The sequence below is a fragment of the Homo sapiens genome, chromosome 4 (genome assembly GCF_000001405.40).
Source record: "Homo sapiens chromosome 4, GRCh38.p14 Primary Assembly".
Classification (NCBI taxonomy): Eukaryota; Metazoa; Chordata; class Mammalia; order Primates; family Hominidae; genus Homo; species Homo sapiens.
In genome coordinates, this window is record NC_000004.12 from 83,232,442 (window position 1) to 83,250,181 (window position 17,740).

The 17,740-nt window shown below is 41.8% G+C and overlaps 1 pseudogene, besides 1 other annotated feature; it reads left to right on the forward strand.

Moving 5' to 3' along the window:
* Positions 3,099-3,148: an enhancer, noted in NCBI's record as "active region_21685". NCBI's record gives its function as "activates an Ori minimal core promoter by ATAC-STARR-seq in GM12878 lymphoblastoid cells {active_cell/tissue: GM12878}" and the evidence as "EXISTENCE:reporter gene assay evidence [ECO:0000049][PMID:35858748]".
* On the forward strand, positions 14,716-15,690 carry LOC391674 (aminomethyltransferase pseudogene; annotated as a pseudogene).

Sequence of the window (17,740 nt, forward strand, 5' to 3'; positions counted from 1 at the left end):
GCCATCTTGAGATATTTGAATATCCTGCCACCATGGGAACCCAGACCTACCTCTGGACTAATTATTGGGAGGGGATTGTGGGAAAGAATAATGACTGGGAAATAGAAATCTTTAAGATGCTCTTGAGCAGAACAAATTTCTCCTCCAATAAAGATGTCCATGTGTTTGTATTTGGCATGGATAATACCATGTATTCTGTAACCCCAATTCTTTAGTATTAGCTCTTTGTGAAAACCTTCTTAGAAACAAGGTGATTTCACTAGATTGTGTTTGGGGGCTATAATTTTATGATCCTATGAAAGATTGTCCCCTACTTTGCCACTTCTGCCAATAAGACCTCTATGTCCTGTCTGCTCTCTTGTTCCCCCAAATAAAGCTTGGATTTCTGTACCATTAACTATCTGCCCAGCATACAAACCTTTAAGTAAGAAAGAAAGCTTCCTCTTAACCTTCATCCAAAAAAAAACAAAAACACACACAAACAAAAGAAAATCTGAACTAGGAATAGAGAGCTTTGGGGCTTCTTAAGTACAATGACTAATAAAATATAAACATACTTGCTGTCTCCAGGGGGTTTATAATTAAAATCATAATGTATATTGACATTGTTTATCAGGGTAAAGACTATACTAATTGGCAGGAATAGAATACTCTTTTCTTTTTTTCAAAAGTATAAGTACTGAAAAATTTGACCAATCTCTGTGTTCTACTTACTACTTCTAATGAAGACCTGACAATTCTACATTAATTTAACAGTAACTTTAAGCATTGGATATGTTGATTTGTAATTATCAGGAGAGACTGAGATCAAGCATTTATGTTGGTATATACATTACTAAAAATGATACAAAAATAGGGCTTTAATAAAATGAAGAAACTTTTTTTTATTTATATGCACCTAACAGAAACTGAGATCAGTATGTGCAACCTATGTCTCTGCCAAATTTATCCTCCTTCCAGCCCTACCTTGGAGAGGGGTAATCATCTAAAATTAAACTATTTGCAGACAATTTTTCTTGGAAATGTAATGTTAACAGAGGCAATTATTTTTCTTTAGGCTATAGAAAAACAAATTTTTATTTATTTATTTTTTATTTTAAAAAATAATGGAGTGGCAGGGTCTTGCTGTGTTGCCCAGGGTGGGCTTGAATTCCTGGGCTCAAGTGATCCTCCCACTTTGGTCTCTCAAAGTGCTGAGATTACAGGCATTACTGGCCTAGAAAAACAAATTCTGAATAAGTATGATAAGACAAATTCCTTGCCAGCAACTCAATTTTAGAAAATATAGTTTTTAATCTCAGGTAGCTTGGGATGGCAGAAACAAACTGTCTTACTGTTTATTCTTGAAATATACACTAAGAAACCTATATTCATAAGAAGAACTCTTTTAAAAGGGATAACATTTCATAAAAACTTTATTATTGACTTACATTTAACATATGAGCTGTAGTATTCTTCTAGAATTTTATATTCGTTTTTATTTTCTTGAGTTTTTTTGTTTTTGTTTTTGTTTTGTTTTGTTTTAGTTTTTGGTTTTTGGTTTGTTTGTTTTTTTGTTTTTTTTGAGACAGGGTCTCACTCACTCTGTCACCCAGGCTGGAGTGCAGTGGCATGATCTCGGCTCACTGTACCCTCGACCTCCTGGGCACAAGCAATACTCACTCAGCCTCTTGAGTAGCTGGGACTACAGGCACATGCCCCCATTCCTGGCTAATTTTCGTATTTTTAGTAAAGATAGGATTTTGCCATGTTGCCCAGGCTGGTCTCAAATTTCTGAGCTCAAACAGTCCTCCTGCCTTGGCCTCCCAAAATGCTGGGATTCCAGGCATAAGCCACCATGCCCAGCCTATTTTTTATTTTCTTGAATATTAAAGGCATTCCATGACTATTGAAGTCAACTAGTTTAAGTCTAATGAAGACCTGATTAAAGTTAAATATTTACCAAAATAAAAACAATTATTATTACCAAAGTAACACCAATCTTTAAAAATCATTCCAAAAAATTAAAGTATCCTGCAGGGACTATATTCAGCATGAGAGATGAAGTAGGGAATGTCAGGACTCTGAGCCTAAGCTAAGCCATCATATCCCTAGTGACCTGCATGTATACATCCAGATGGCCGGTTCCTGCCTTAACTGGTGATATTCCGCCACAAAAGAAGTGAAAATGGCCTGTTCCTGCCTTAACTGATGACATTACCTTGTGAAATTCCTTCTCCTGGCTCATCCTGGCTCAAAAGCTCCCCCTCTGAGCACCTTGTGACCCCCCACCCCTGCCCACCAGAGAAAAACCCCCCTTTTTCCTTTACCTACCCAAATCTTATAAAACGGCCCCACCCCTATCTCCCTTCCCTGACTCTCTTTTCGGACTCAGCCCACCTGCACCCAGGTGAAATAAACAGCCTTGTTGCTCACACAAAGCCTGTTTGGTGGTCTCTTCACATGGACGTGCGTGAAAGGGAATTTGTCACAGAACATTCAGCAGACAAACTTAAAGAGGGAATTTTAAACTAGCTTTCAGAACCTAGGCTCAGAGGCAGTACTCAAGTGAGGTCCTGCTGCAGATGACAACTGCAAAAGAAAATGAACATTGATTTTCTCCAAGTTAGACTCATTTATTTAGCTGTTACTCATAAAGTAGAAGCCAGGTAAGCAGTAGTGTTGACTCATACATAATTTGCAAAAGAGTTGATAAACTCGGACAACAGCAGTGGGACTGCTTTATAGTTTCAAAAGCCTCTTAACATCTTCTCTGTTTTGAGTGCATCATCTTCTCTAAGATGAATTATCTTCAGACCAAATTATATAAGTCAATCTGCAATGGAACAAGCTGGAGGAGATTTAGATTCACTATCTAGAGAAAAGTGTTCATTTGTTTAAAAGAAATACTTTAAACTGAGGGAATTCATCACCACTAGACCAGTCCTACAAGAAATGTTTGAGAGTCCTTCATCTAGAAGTGAAAGTGTCAGGCCTCTGAGCCCAAGCTAAGCCATCATATGCCCTGTGACCTGCACATATACATCCAGATGGCCGGAAGCAACTGAAGATCCACAAAAGTGAAAATGGCCTGTTCCTGCCTTAACTGATGACATTCCACCATTGCGATTTGTTCCTGCCCCACCTTAACTGAACTATTAACCTTGTGAAATTCCTCCTCCTGGCTCAGAACCTCCCCCACTGAGCACCTTGTGACCCCCGCCCCTGCCCATAAGAGAAAAACCCCCTTTGACTGTAATTTTCCACTACCCACCCAAATCCTGTAAAACAGCCCCACCCCATCTCCCTTTGCTGACTCTCTTTTCGGACTCAGCCCGCCTGTACCCAGGTGAAATAAACAGCCTTGTTGTTCACACAAAGCCTGTTTGGTGGTCTCTTCACATGGACACACATGACAGAAAGGATGATGTCTACCATCAAGAAAACACATAAGACTGTAAAACTCACTGGCATAGCAGATACACAAATGAGAAAGAGAAAGGAATCAAATGTTACCACTACAGAAAACCACCAAACCGCAATGATAAATAATGAAAGAGACAAAAGATCAATGAAACAAAAAGTTGGTTCTTTGCAAAGAAAAACAAAATTGATAAACTGCTAGCTAGAATAACCAAGAAGAGATAAGATCCAAATAAACATAATCAGAAATGAAAAAGGAGACATGACAACAGACACCAGAAATGCAAAAGGTCATCAGCGAGAATTATGAACAACTATATGCTCAAAAACTAGGAAACCTAGAGGGAATTGATTAAATACCAGGAAACATACTACCTTCTAAGATTAAACCAGGAAGAAACAGAAAACCTCAACAGACCAATAATGAGATTACATCATAATAAAAACTCTCCCCACAAAGAAAGGCCCAGAACTGGATCACTTTATTGCTGAATTCTATCAAGCTTATAAAGAACTAACACTAATTCTTCTCAAATCATTCCAAAAAATTAAAGAGGAGGGAAATCTTTCTAACTCATTCTGTAAGGCCAGCATTACCTGATGCTAAAACCAGACAAGGACACACAAAAAAAGAAAACTATGAGAGAAAAATATCTCTCAGGAACATAGATGTAAAAATCCTCATCAAAATACTAGCAAACTAAATCTAACAACCATCAAAAATATAATACACCATGATCAAGTGGGATTTATCCCAGGAATGCAAAAAATGGTTCCACATATGCAAATCAATAAATGTGATACATTAACCAAAGGAAGGACAAAAACCATATGATCATCTCAATAAACACAGAAAAAGCATTTGATAAAATTTAACATCCTTCATGATAAAACGTCTCAACAAGTTAGGCGTAAAAGAAACATACCTCAAAATAACAAAAGCCATATATGACAAACCCACAGCTAACATCATACCACCTGGGGAAAAGCTAAAAGCCTTTCCTCTAAGAACTGGAATAAGACAATGATGCTCACCTTTACTATTCTTATTCAACATAGTGCTGGAAGTCCTAGCCTGATCGATTAGGAAAGAGGAAGAAATAAGGACATAATCCAAGTTGGAAAAGAAGTGAAAGTGTCTCTCTTTACAGATGACATGATCTTATACTTAGAAAAACCTAAAGACTACCAAAAAAGTCTTACAAATGATAAGTAAATCCAGTAAAGTTGAAGGATACAAAAACCAATATACAAAAATTGGTAGTTTCTATATAACCAGGATGAACTAATTAAAAAGAAATCAAGAAAGCAATCCCGCATTTCCACCCACTTCCCCACCCAGTGCCACTCTGGCTACCCTGCACTCGCTCTGAGCTCCAGGCTTCTGCTAAGTTAGCAACACCATGGTCTCCCTTTAGCTGCTCTCATGATTACCTACCCTGGCATCATCAGCCACAATAGTTCAACATGTATAAGATTTGGGAGATTGCAGACAGGCTTGCCTGGAGTTGGAGGGAAAGATGGTAAGTAGGACGCAGGGTAACACTGATGACTTGTTCATTGGTGGAAATGCCTCTGCTGAAGGCCCTTAGGGCAAAGGTGCCTCCCAAAGTGCTGGGATTACAGGTGTGAGCTACCGTGCCCGGCCAGGTCTAAATATTTGTAACGAACTGTTAAATAAAATATGTTCTACCCTCACATCTTGACAAATACACTTTTATAATAACCTGGAAGGGCAGGTTCCTATTTAGAATTCTCAGACTTCTTGGGGTCTCCAGATTATGGAGACAGCTGGCTCCCTGGCTGCCCATCCCTGGTCTGAGGGCATTTCCTCTTTTATTTCTACCTATGCCCCATCCTACACTACAAAGGGCTTTGTGGACACATGTGTGGACACCTGATGCTGCATAGCTAAGCTCTAACCACACCCACTTCATAAAATGTGTGTCCCCTGGGCATCCTTAGCCATTAGGGTTGTGTACTCCAGCTGTGCAGTCTGCCCTTAGGAGGACTTAATCAGGAAAGAGAATGTACTAGCCCTGTAAATAGGCTCCAAGTGGTTTGGGCAGATAATTCTGCAGTCTAAGGCACCCAGACGTAGATGAATAGTATTCCATTGTATAGATCACTTTGGGTAATATGGACGTTTTAACAACTTTAATCCTTCCAGTCCATGAGCATGAGCTATCTTTCCATTTATTTGTGTCTTCTATTTTTCTAATTATTTTTTAAATAGTTTTCAGTGTACTGATTTTTGTGTGTTGATTTTGGATCCTACAACTTTACTGTATTTGTTTATCTTAACAGTTTTTTGGTGGAGTCTCTGGGGTTTTCTATATATAAGGACACGTTATTGGCAAACAGGTGTAATTTAACTTCTCCCTTTCCTATTTGGGGAATGTCTTTTATTTCTTTCTCTTGCCTAATTGCTGTAGCTAGGATTTCCAATACTATGTTGAATAGAGGTGGCAAGAATGGACATCTCTGCGTTGTTCTGATCTTAGAAGAAAGGCTTTCCATTTTCACTGTAGTGTATAATATTAGCTGTGAACAAAATCTGCATTTTTAAACACCTGTTAGATTCTTACTGGGAGATGTTGAAGGCCTCTAAAAGTAAGAGGTAGGGTAGGGCTTTGTGTTGCTGTTCCCCCCAGACTCACTAAATGTTTGCATGTTACCTTGGTATCCAGCCCTAGATGGAATTCTGCTACCGCTGTAATCATTAGCAAGCAGGCGTGCTCTTCTTACAAGCTCAGCTCAGTCCCTTAGGCACTGTATCGGATGAGATAAGGAAAAGCTGCTGTAATAATAATACAGTGGTTTAAAGCAACAGTCCAAGGTGAATGTTCCAAGGTGGCAGGTGGTCTGCTTCATGAGCCACTCAGGGGCTCAGGTTCCTTCCAACGTGATTCTGCACTACTCTCTGGGCCTTTTGTTGTCTGCATAGCAAAGTTCTAGCCAACCAAATGGCAAGAAGGGAACAAGAACTCAGAATAGGCATATTCATGTTCTTAAGGTGTAGGCCCAGAAATCTAGGTATACATTCTTCTACTCACATGCCATCAGGTGAAACTTAGCCACATGAATACAGCTATCTGTTAGGTGAGCTGGATTGGGTGGTGTAGCCAAGCACCTAAGAAGAAGAGGAGAATGGACTATTTGGTAGAAAACTGGTTGTCTCCACCATTGGCACACTGCCAAGTATCTTGCAGGAAAGAATTAATCAAGGCAGATGCAATAATATTCTAGAGCCAAGTTAAGCTCACTTACTATTCAGAATAGGTAGCAGAATCTTCAGGTCCAAATCAGAGCCTGAGCCACAAAGACCACTCTGAAAGATATAGATAGGCTGCTGGGCTCATAAATTTTATGCACTTCTATACATATAAGGACACAGATTCTTCTACAGTATTGCTAATTAATCCAAATATTTTATTTTATTTTTATTTATTTATTTATTTTGAAACGGAGTCTCGCTCTATCGCCCAGGCTGGAGTGCAGTGGCGTGGTCTCAGCTCGTTGCAACCTCTGCCTCCTGGGTTCACGCCATTCTCCTGTCTCAGCCTCCCGAGTAGCTGGGACTACAGGCGCCTGCCACCATGCTGGCTAATTTTTTGTATTTTTAGTAGAGATGGGGTTTCATCGTGTTAGCCAGGATGGTCTCGATCTCCTGACCCCGTGATCTGCCTGCCTCAGCCTCCCAAAGTGCTGGGATTACAAGCGTGAGCCACCGCACCCGGCCTCACACATTTTATTTTTTAAATTTAAGTTTATTTTATTTTCTTAGAGATGGGGTCTTGCTATGTTGCCCAGGCAGGATTCAAACTTCTGGGCTTGGCTGGCCATGGTGGTTCATTCCTATAATCCCAGTGTTTTGGGAGGCCAAGGCACGAGGATCTCTTGAGGCCAGGAGTTTGAGACCAGCCTGTACAACATAGCAAGACACCTTCTCTACAAAACAAAAACAAATCAAAAACAGACAAAAACCTCCTGTGCTTAAGGAATCCTCCCACCTCAGACACCTGAGAAGGATCACACACACATGCCACTGTGCCTGGCTAATCCACATATTTTAAACATCGCACATTTTGCCAACTGAAAACTATTTCTATCATTTTAAAAGTATATTAACAACTAGTACATTGAGATAGCAATAGTCAAACCACTTGTAACAGGTCCTCTGGAATGTGGAGACCTGAGAAAAACATTTCAAACCTATCCTGGAGAGTATATTCCTGATTAGGGCACTTCAAATGCTAAATTCCTATTTCTAGATTAAAAGTAACAAACACGCATATATCACATTGTCCAGGCCCTTGATGCATATTGAAAACATTCACACCACACACATACACTCACATACACATGCACACACGCAAACACGTGTGTGCACATACACACACATGCACACAGGAAATACAGAAAACTATGCACCAAAATAGAGATGATTATTATCACGTAGGGTCTATTTTGTGCAGGTATCAACATATAAATATTCCCAGAGGAATTTCATAATTCAGGATTTCGTGAAGATGACAAAAGAAGAATGACTGCATCTATTCTGAACTTTACCCAGTTTTGGAGTCCTGATGTCAGTCACTACTTCTTACTTTCTAAGGCACTGATGGTAACAATTAACTTCTGTGGCCAAAGGACTATTTCCAGGATGGCCTGGATCCTCTTTTTGCCATCCCACACTGCTCTCACACCACACTGTCTGAGATGTCTACTTCCTGCATCTGGGCCCTTATTATAAATGAAAGTAGTTCTTTGCTTTGGTCCTGGCTCAAAATATAGCCCTCAACTACTGAGTCTTTAGCAATTCCTTTGCATCTGATTGCAGATGCAATTGAAAATTGCAACATAACTGCAATTGCCTTGCCTGTGAAAAGGCAATATAACTGACGGTTGAAAGCGAAGATTCTTTCAGTTCCCTCAACTGAATAATGAGTTCGCAGATGTAAAGTGCTTAGGACAGCACCTGGCATGTAGTAAGTAGCACTCTGTGGGTACCGGCTGTTATCATTTCTCTATTATCTGTTTCTCCTGACAGACCTGTAGATAGTGGAACTTTGAATCTTCTTCACTTTATTTTATTGTTTTAATTAATTAATTAATTAATTAATTTTTTTTTAAAGACAGAGTCTTACTCTGTTGTCCTGGTTGGAGTATAGTTAAGCAATCATAGCTCACTGTAACCTCAAACAACTGAGCTCAAGCAATCTTCCTGCTTCAGCCTCCCAAGTAGCTAGGACTACAGGCATGCATCACCTCACCCAGCGAATTTTTAAATTTTTGTAGAAATGAGGTCTTGCTATGTTGTCCAGGTTGGTCTTGAAACCCTGACTGCAACGGATCATCCTGCCTTGGCCTCCCAAAGCTCTGGCATTACAGGTGTGAGCCACTGTGCCTGGCTTCCACTTTATTTTAAGAAGGAAACCACAGGTAAATATTCTTACACTTTTATCACTCTTGACACTACCCTTCCACTAGGTAACTGCAGGAACAGGGTCAGATGACTGCTGGGGTTGTTTTGAAACTTGACATGATTAAGCCTGTGATGCCAGGATAAAAAAAAATTACTTTTCTCTTGCCTTTTATCTGTTGTCTGTCTTTTAGACATTTAACTATCAGTCTTCCTACATAAAGGAATAAATGGGGTAAAAAAAAAAAAAAAAAAAGAGTTTTTCCCATTCCAAGCTGGCCAAATAGGAACAGCTCTGGCCTGCAGCTCACAGTGTGATTGATGCAGAAGACGGGTGATTTCTGCATTTCCAACTGAGCCTCTGCTGGTGATACCCAGGGGAACAGGGTCTGGAGTGGACCTCCAGCAAACTCCAACAGACCTGCAGCTGAGGGACCTGACTGTTAGAAGGAAAACTAACAAACAGAAAGGAATGGCATCAACATCAACAAAAAGGACATCCACACCAAAACCCTATCTGTAGGTCACCAACTCCAAAGACCAAAGGTAGATAAAACCACAAAGATGGGGAGAAACCAGAGCAGAAAAGCTGAAAATTCTAAAAACCAGAGCATCTCTTCTCCTCCAAAGGATTGCAGCTCCTCGCCAACAACGGAACAAAGCGGGACAGTGAATCACTTTGACGAGTTGACAGAAGTAGGCTTCAGAAGGTCAGTAATAACAAACTTCTCCGAGCTAAGGGAGGATGTTTGAACTCATTGCAAGGAAGCTAAAAACCTTGAAAAAAGATTAGACAAATGGCTAACTAGAATAAACAGTGTAGAGAAGAACTTAAATGACCTGATGGAGCTGAAAACCATGGCATGAGAACTACGTGACACATGAACAATCTTCAGTAGTCAATTCAATCAAGTGGAAGAAAGAGTATCAGTGATTGAAGTTCAAATTAATGAAATAAAGTGAGAGGAGAAGTTTAGAGAAAAAAGAGTAAAAAGAAATGAACAAAGCCTCCAAGAAATATGGGACTATGTGAAAAGACCAAATCTACGTTTGATTGGTGTACCTGAAAGTGACAGGGAGAATGGAACCAAGTTGGAAAACACTCTTCAGGATATTATCCAGGAGAACTTCCCCAACCTAGCAAGGCAGGCCAACATTCAAATTCAGGAAATACAGACAACACCACAAACATACTCCTTGAGAAGAGCAACCCCAAGACACAAAATTGTCAGATTCACCAAAGTTGAAATGAAGGAAAAACTGTTAAGGGCAGTCAGAGAGAAAGGTCGGGTTACCCACAAAGGGAAGCCCATCACATTAACAGCGGATCTCTCGGCAGAAACTCTACAAGCCAGAAGAGAGTGGGGGCCAATATTCAACATTCTTAAAGAAAAGAATTTTCAACCCAGGATTTCATATCCAGCCAAACTAAGCTTCATAAGTGAAGGAGAAATAAAATCCTTTACAGAGAAGCAAATGCTGAGATATTTTGTAACCACCAGGCCTGCCTTACAAGAGCTCCTGAAGGAAGCACTAAACATGGAAAGGAACAACCGGTACCAGCCACTGCAAAAACATGCCAAATTGTAAAGACCATTGATGCTAGGAAGAAATTCCATCAACTAATGCGCAGCTAACATCATAACCAGCTAACATCATAATGACAGGATCAAATTCACACATAACATTATTAACCTTAAATGTAAATGGGCTAAATGCCCCAGTTAAAAGACACAGACTGGCAAATTGGATAGTCAAGACCCATCAGTGTGCTGTATTCAGGAGACCCATCTGACGTGCAGAGACACACACAGGCTCAAAATAAAGGGATGGAGGAAGATCTACCAAGCAAATGGAAAGCAAAAAAAAGCAGGGTTTGCAATCCTAGTCTCTGATAAAACAGACTTTAAACCAACAAAGATCAAATGAGACGAAGAAGGCCATTACATAATGGTAAAGGGATCAATTCAACAAGAAGAGCTAACTATCCTAAATATCTATGCATGCAATACAGGAGCACCCACATTCATAAAGCAAGTCCTTAAAGACCTACAAAGAGACTTAGACTCCCACACAATAATAATGGGAGACTTTAACACCCCACTGTCAATATTAGACAGATCAACGAGACAGAAGGTTAACAACGATATCCAGGACTTGAACTCAGCTCTGCACCAAGCTGACCTAATAGACATCCACAGAACTCTCCACCCCAAATCAACAGAATATACATTCTTCTCAGCACCACATTGCACTTATTCAAAAATTGACCACATAGTTGGAAGTAAAGCACTCCTCAGCAAATATAAAAGAACAGAAATCACAACAAACTGTCAGACCACAGTGCAATCAAATTTGAACTCTGGATTAAGAAACTCACTCGAAACCACACAACTACATGGAAACAGAACAACTTGCTCCTGAATGACTACTGGGTAAATAACAAAATGAAGGCAGAAATAAAGATATTCTTTGAAACCAACGAGAACAAAGGCACAATGTACCAGAATCTCTGGGACACATTTAAAGCAGTGTGTAGAGGGAAATTTATAGCACTAAATGCCCACAAGAGAGAGCAGGAAAGATCTAAAATCAACACCCTAACATCACAATTAAAAGAACTAGAGAAGCAAGAGCAAACAAATTCAAAAGCTAGCAGAAGGCAAGAAATAACTAAGATCAGAGCAGAACTGAAGGAGACAGAGACACAAAAACCCTTCAAAAAATCAATGAATCCAGAAGCTGGTTTTTAGAAAAGATCAACAAAATTGATAGACCGCTAGTAAGACTAATAAAGAAGAAAAGAGAGAAGAATCAAATAGATGCAATAAAAATGATAAAGGGGATATCACCACCAATCCCACAGAAATACAAACTACCATTGGAGAATACTATAAACACCTCTACGCAAATAAACTAGAAAATCTAGAAGAAATGGATAAATTCCTGGACACATACACCCTCCCAAGACTAAACTAGGAAGAAGTTCAGTCTCTGAATAGACAAATAACAGGCTCTGAAAGTGAGGCAATAATTAATAGCCTATCAACCAAAAAAAGTCCAGGACCAGATGGATTCACAGCTGAATTCTACCAGAGGTACAAAGAGGAGGTGGTACCATTCCTTCTGAAACTATTCCAATCAATAGAAAAAGAGGGAATCCTCCCTAACTCATTTTATGAGGCCAGCATCATCCTGATACCAAAGCCTGGCAGAGACACAACAAAAAAAGAGAATTTTAGACCCATATCCCTGATGAACATCGATGCGAAAATCCTCAATAAAATACTGGCAAACCAAATCCAGCAGCACATCATAAAGCTTATCCACCACGATCAAGTTGGCTTCATCCCTGGGATGCAAGGCTGGTTCAACATATGCAAATCAATAAATGTAATCCATCACATAAACAAAACAAACAACAAAAACCACACGATTTTCCCAACAGATGCAGAAAAGCCTTCCACAAAATTCAACATCCCTTCATACTAAAAACTCTCAATAAACTAGGTATTGATGGGACATATCTCAAAATAATAAGAGCTATTTATGACAAACCCACAGCCAATATCATACTGAACGGGCAAAAACTGGGAGCATTCCCTTTGAAAACTGGCACAAGACAAGGATGCCCTCTCTCACCACTCCTATTCAACATAGTGTTGGAAGTTCTGTCCAGGGCAATCAGGCAAGAGAAAGAAATAAAGGGTATTCAAATAGGAAAAGAGGAAGTCAAATTGTCTCTGTTTGCAGACGACATGACTGTATAATTAGAAAACCCCATCCTCTCAGCCCAAAATCTCCTTAAGCTGATAAGCAACTTCAGCAAAGTCTCAGGATATAAAATCAATGTGCAAATATCACAAGCATTCCTATACACCAATAACAGACAAATGGCAAAATCATGAGTGAATTCCCATTCACAATTGCTACAAAGAGAATAAAATTCCCAGGAATCCAACTTACAAGGGATGTGAAGGACCTCTTCAAGGAGAACTACAAGCCACAGCTCAACGAAATAAAGGAGGACACAAACAAATGGAAAAACATTCCATGCTCATGGATAGGAAGAATCAATATCGTGAAAATGGCCACACTGCCCAAGGTAATTTATGGATTCAAGGCTATCTTCATCAAGCTACCAATGACTTTCTTCACAGAATTGGAAAAAACTACTTTAAAGTTGATATGGAACCAAAAAAGAGCCTGCATTGCCAAGACAATCCTAAGCAAAAAGAACAAAGCTGGAGGCATCACACTACCTGACTTCAAACTACACTACAAGGCTATGGTAGCCAAAACAGCATGGTACTAGTAGCAAAACAGAGATATAGACCAATGGAACACAACAGAGGCCTCAGAAATAACACCACACATCTACAACCATCTGAACTTTGACAAACCTGACAAAAACAAGAAATGGGGAAAGGGTTCCCTATTTAATAAATGGTGCTGGGAAAACTGACTAGCCATATGTAGAAAGCTGAAACTGGATCCCTTCCTCACACTTTATACAAAAATTTATTCAAGATGGATTAAAAACTTAAATGTTAGACCTAAAACCATAAAAACCCTAGAAGAAAACCTAGGCAATACCATTCAGGACATAGTCATGGGCAAGGACTTCATGACTAAAACACCAAAAGCAATGGCAACAAAAGCCAAAATAGACAAATGGGATCTAATTAAACTAAAGACCTTCTGCACAGCAAAAGAAACTACCATCCGAGTGAACAGGCAACCTACAGAATGGGAGAAAATTTTTGCAATTTACCCATCTGACAGAGGGCTAATATCCAGAATCTACAAAGAACTTACACAAACTTACAAAAAAAAAAATCCCATCAAAAAGTGGGCAAAGGATATGAACAGACACTTCTCAAAAGAAGACATTTATGCAGCCAACAGACACATGAAAAAATGCTCATCATCACTGGTCATCAGAGAAATGCAAATCAAAACCACAATGAGATACCATCTCACACCAGTTAGAATGGCAATCATTAAAAAGTCAGGAAGCAACAGATGCTGTAGAGGATGTGGAGAAATAGGAACACTTTTACACTGTTGGTGGGAGTGTAAACTAGTTCAACCATTGTGGAAGACAGTGTGGCGATTCCTCAAGGATCTAGAACTAGAAATACCATTTGACCCAGTGATCCCATTACTGGGTATATACCCAAAGGATTATAAATCATGCTACTATAAAGACACATGCACATGTATGTTTACTGAGGCACTATTCACAATAGCAAAGACTTGGAACCAACCCAAATGTCCAACAATGATAGACTGGATTAAGAAAATGTGACACATATACACCATGGAATACTAAGCAGCCATAAAAAAGGATGAGTTCATGTCCTTTGCAGGGACATGGATAAAGCTGGAAACCATCATTCTGAGCAAACTATCACAAGGACAGAAAACCAAACACCACACGTTCTCACTCATAGGTGGGAATTGAACAATGAGAACACATGGACACAAGAAGGGGAACATCACACACCAGGGCCTGTTGTGGGGTGGCGGGTTGGGGGAGGGATAGCATTAGGAGAAATACCTAATGTAAATGATGAGTTAATGGGTGCAGCAAACCAACATGGCACATGTGTACCTATGTAACAAACCTGCACATTGTACACATGTACCCTAGAACTTAAAGTATAATTTAAAAAAAAAAAGAGCAATAATTTTTTAAAAGAAAAAAGTGCTCAGTGGGCAGCTTTTGAAAGAAAGTCTAAAAGAGAGTTCCCCACCTCCTGTGCATTAAGTTTATCTACATACTTACCTGTTCTCTTTAATAACTGTAGTTTTTGCTGGTGTTTAAATATTCTAAGAACTACATCTCCCAGCATGTGTGGCAGAGTGGTGGCCTCTGTGCACCATCTGCACCCGTCAGAGGCGACAATGCAGTGGGCTGTGAGCACGGTGGCCAATCGGGGTTTTCTCCTGCAGGCATTCCCTCCTGCCTTGTGTCATCTGCTTAGTTGTGCACAGACCGAGATACGTGGTGGTGACCCGGTGAAGCTGATGCAGAGTCTAGTGGTTGGAGACACTGCAGAGCTGAGGCCAAACCAGAGGACACTGTTGCTGTTTACCAATGAGGCTGGAGGCACCTTAGATGACTTGATTGTGACCAGCACTTCTGAGGGGCACCTACATGTGATGTCCAACACTGGCTGCTGGGAAAAAGACTTGGCCTTCATGCAGGACAAGGTCAGAGAACTTTAGAGGCAGGGCAGAGATGTGGGCCTGGAGGTAGTGGATACTGCCCTGCTAGCCCTGAAAGGGCCCCCTGTGGCCCAGGTGCTACAGGCCAGCACGGCAGCTGACCTGAGGAAACTGCCTTCATGACTAGTGCTGTGATGGAGGTGTTTGACGTGTCTGGCCGCCACCTTACACACTGTGGCTGCACAGGAGAGAATGGTGTGGACATCTTGGTGCCAGCAGCGGGGGCAGTTCACCCCGCATCAGCTCTTCTGGAAAACCCAGAGGCAAAGCTGGCAGTGCTGGCAGCTTGCGCCTGGAGGCAGGCCTCCGGCTGTACAGGAGTGACACTGATGAACACACTACCCCTGTGGAGGGCAGCCTCAGTTGGACATTGGGGAAGTGCCACTGAGCTGCTCTCGACTTCCCTGGAGCCAAGGTCATTGTTCCCCAGCTGAAGGGAAAGTGCAGTGGAGGCGTGTGGGGTTGATGTGTGAGGGGGCCCTGATGCAGGCACACAGTCCCACCTGAGCATGGAGGGCCCATGATTGGTACTGTGACCAGTGGCTGTCCCTTGCCCTACCTGAAGAAGACTGTGGCAATGAGTTACATGCCCTGCCAGTAGTCAGCCAGGGATAATGCTGCTGGTAGAGGTGCGGCAGAAGCAGCAGATGGGCGCAGTCAGCAAGATGCCCTTTGCGCCCATGAACTGCTCTACCCTCATGTGAGGATGGCTCAGGGCAGGACCATCCCCTCCAGAAGTCTTGCCCTAGAGGGCATTCTACAAGGGCTTAGGCAGGAAGCTGAGGCAGAACTCACTGGGGGTGGGCAGCTAAGGGGCAGGTTGGTTTTAGTTGTCTGGTTAAGGGGGCCATACCACCTACTCTCTCCACCCAACCCATGGCCACTCCAGCTCCAGGACCCTGTTTCTGAGCGACAGACCAGCCATTCAATGTCTTCTTTCGGTCCATGATCCCACTGACCCACTCTAGCCTGATGGAGGGAAATGAGCAGCTCTGGTTCTGCTATCTCTCCCACTCTGCCAGGTGCTGGCTGTGGCACAAAGGCTCGCCTTTGTGGGGAGGATAAAACCTGCCCAACCTGCCTCACCTTGGTTATTCGCATTGCAAGGAGTCATTACCATGGGCAATATGGGCTCAGGCCACTCCTTCCAGTTTGCTTTCCATAAATGCAAACTGTCCCTACCGTGAGTCAGGAATGACTCCTGACTCACAGTGGGGCTGCTGTAAACTTGGGGATGGTTGAGGGAACACAGACACAGTCTTCCATGCTCCCCAGGTGGTCCAGCCTGCTGCCCAGAAGCAAACCATGGCAGGCTCACCACCGGTTCTATGCCGCAGGGCTGTTGTAGGACAGGCTGGGCTTTCTCCTGGACTCACCTTACCCTGGGCTGACCTTTGCCCCTGGTATCCAATAATGGCCTCCACTAAATCCTGAAAAAAAAATTAAACACACTTCCTTCTTAAAAATAAATATTCTAAAAGTTCTGAGGAAATTATTATTATTATTATTTTGAGACAGGGTCTCACTGTCACCCAGGCTGGAGTGCAGCAGCACGATCATGGCTCACTGCAGCCTCCACCTCCCAGGCTCAAATGATCCTCCCGCCTCAGCCCTGAAAGTAGCTGGGACTACAGGCATGCACCACCACACCTGGCTAATTTTTGTATTTTTTATAGAGATGGGGGCTCATCATGTTGTCCAGGTTGGTCTTGAATTCCTGGGCTCAAGTGATCCTCCTGCCTCTGCTTCCCAAAGTGCTGGGACTATAGGCATGAGCCACCACACCCAGCCAGAAAGTTATTTTTAACTCAGGTTTATTTACAAAGAAAATGTATGACAGACCTTATGTAGTTCTGGGCCGCGAAGCTGCCTCAATGAACTCTCCATCTATTGAGCTTATGGTAAATGTTCCACCATCTTACTGGAATCCACACTAACGGCCAAAGAATATGTAGACTCGAAAGTATGTATGCTTTTTTTTTTTTTTTTTTGAGACAGAGTTTCACTCTTGTTACCCAGGCTGGAGTGCAATGGCACGATCTCGGCTCACCGCAACCTCCGCCTCCCGGGTTCAAGCGATTCTCGTGCTTCCGCCTCTCAAATAGCTGAGATTATAGGCATGCACCACCACGCCCGGCTAATTTTGTATTTTTAGTAGAGACAGGGTTTCTCCATGTTGGTCAGGCTGGTCTCGAACTCCCGACCTCAGGTGATCCGCCTGCCTCGGCCTCCCAAAGTGCTGGGATTACAGGCGTGAGCCACCGCACCCAGCAAAAGTATGTATGCTTTACAAAATATTACACTTACATTAACACACCTGATTCTATCCTGAAGTAGAGCCAAAAGTCTCTGTAATCTGTTTAATAGATTCAAAATAGTAGGGAGAAAATCTGAGCAAATCATCGTACTGTTTTGTTGTCCTCCCTCCCAAACAATGCAGCAGCTGAGTGGTGGCTGGATTGCCAGATTCTGGGGGTGCTGGTTTGCCCAGTATTTTCATAGTTGAGTGCAGATACTCCCATGCCCTGGCAAACCAGGAGGTTTGCTCACCCTAGCTGGGGGATAAGCAGGCCTTACGTGCCCACCTAGGAAGGTCTGAGTTTATCAGTACAGTAGCATCATGAACAAACAGCCACCAGGTACAGCTTCCTAGAAGCCTCTTTCCTCAGAGAAGAAAAG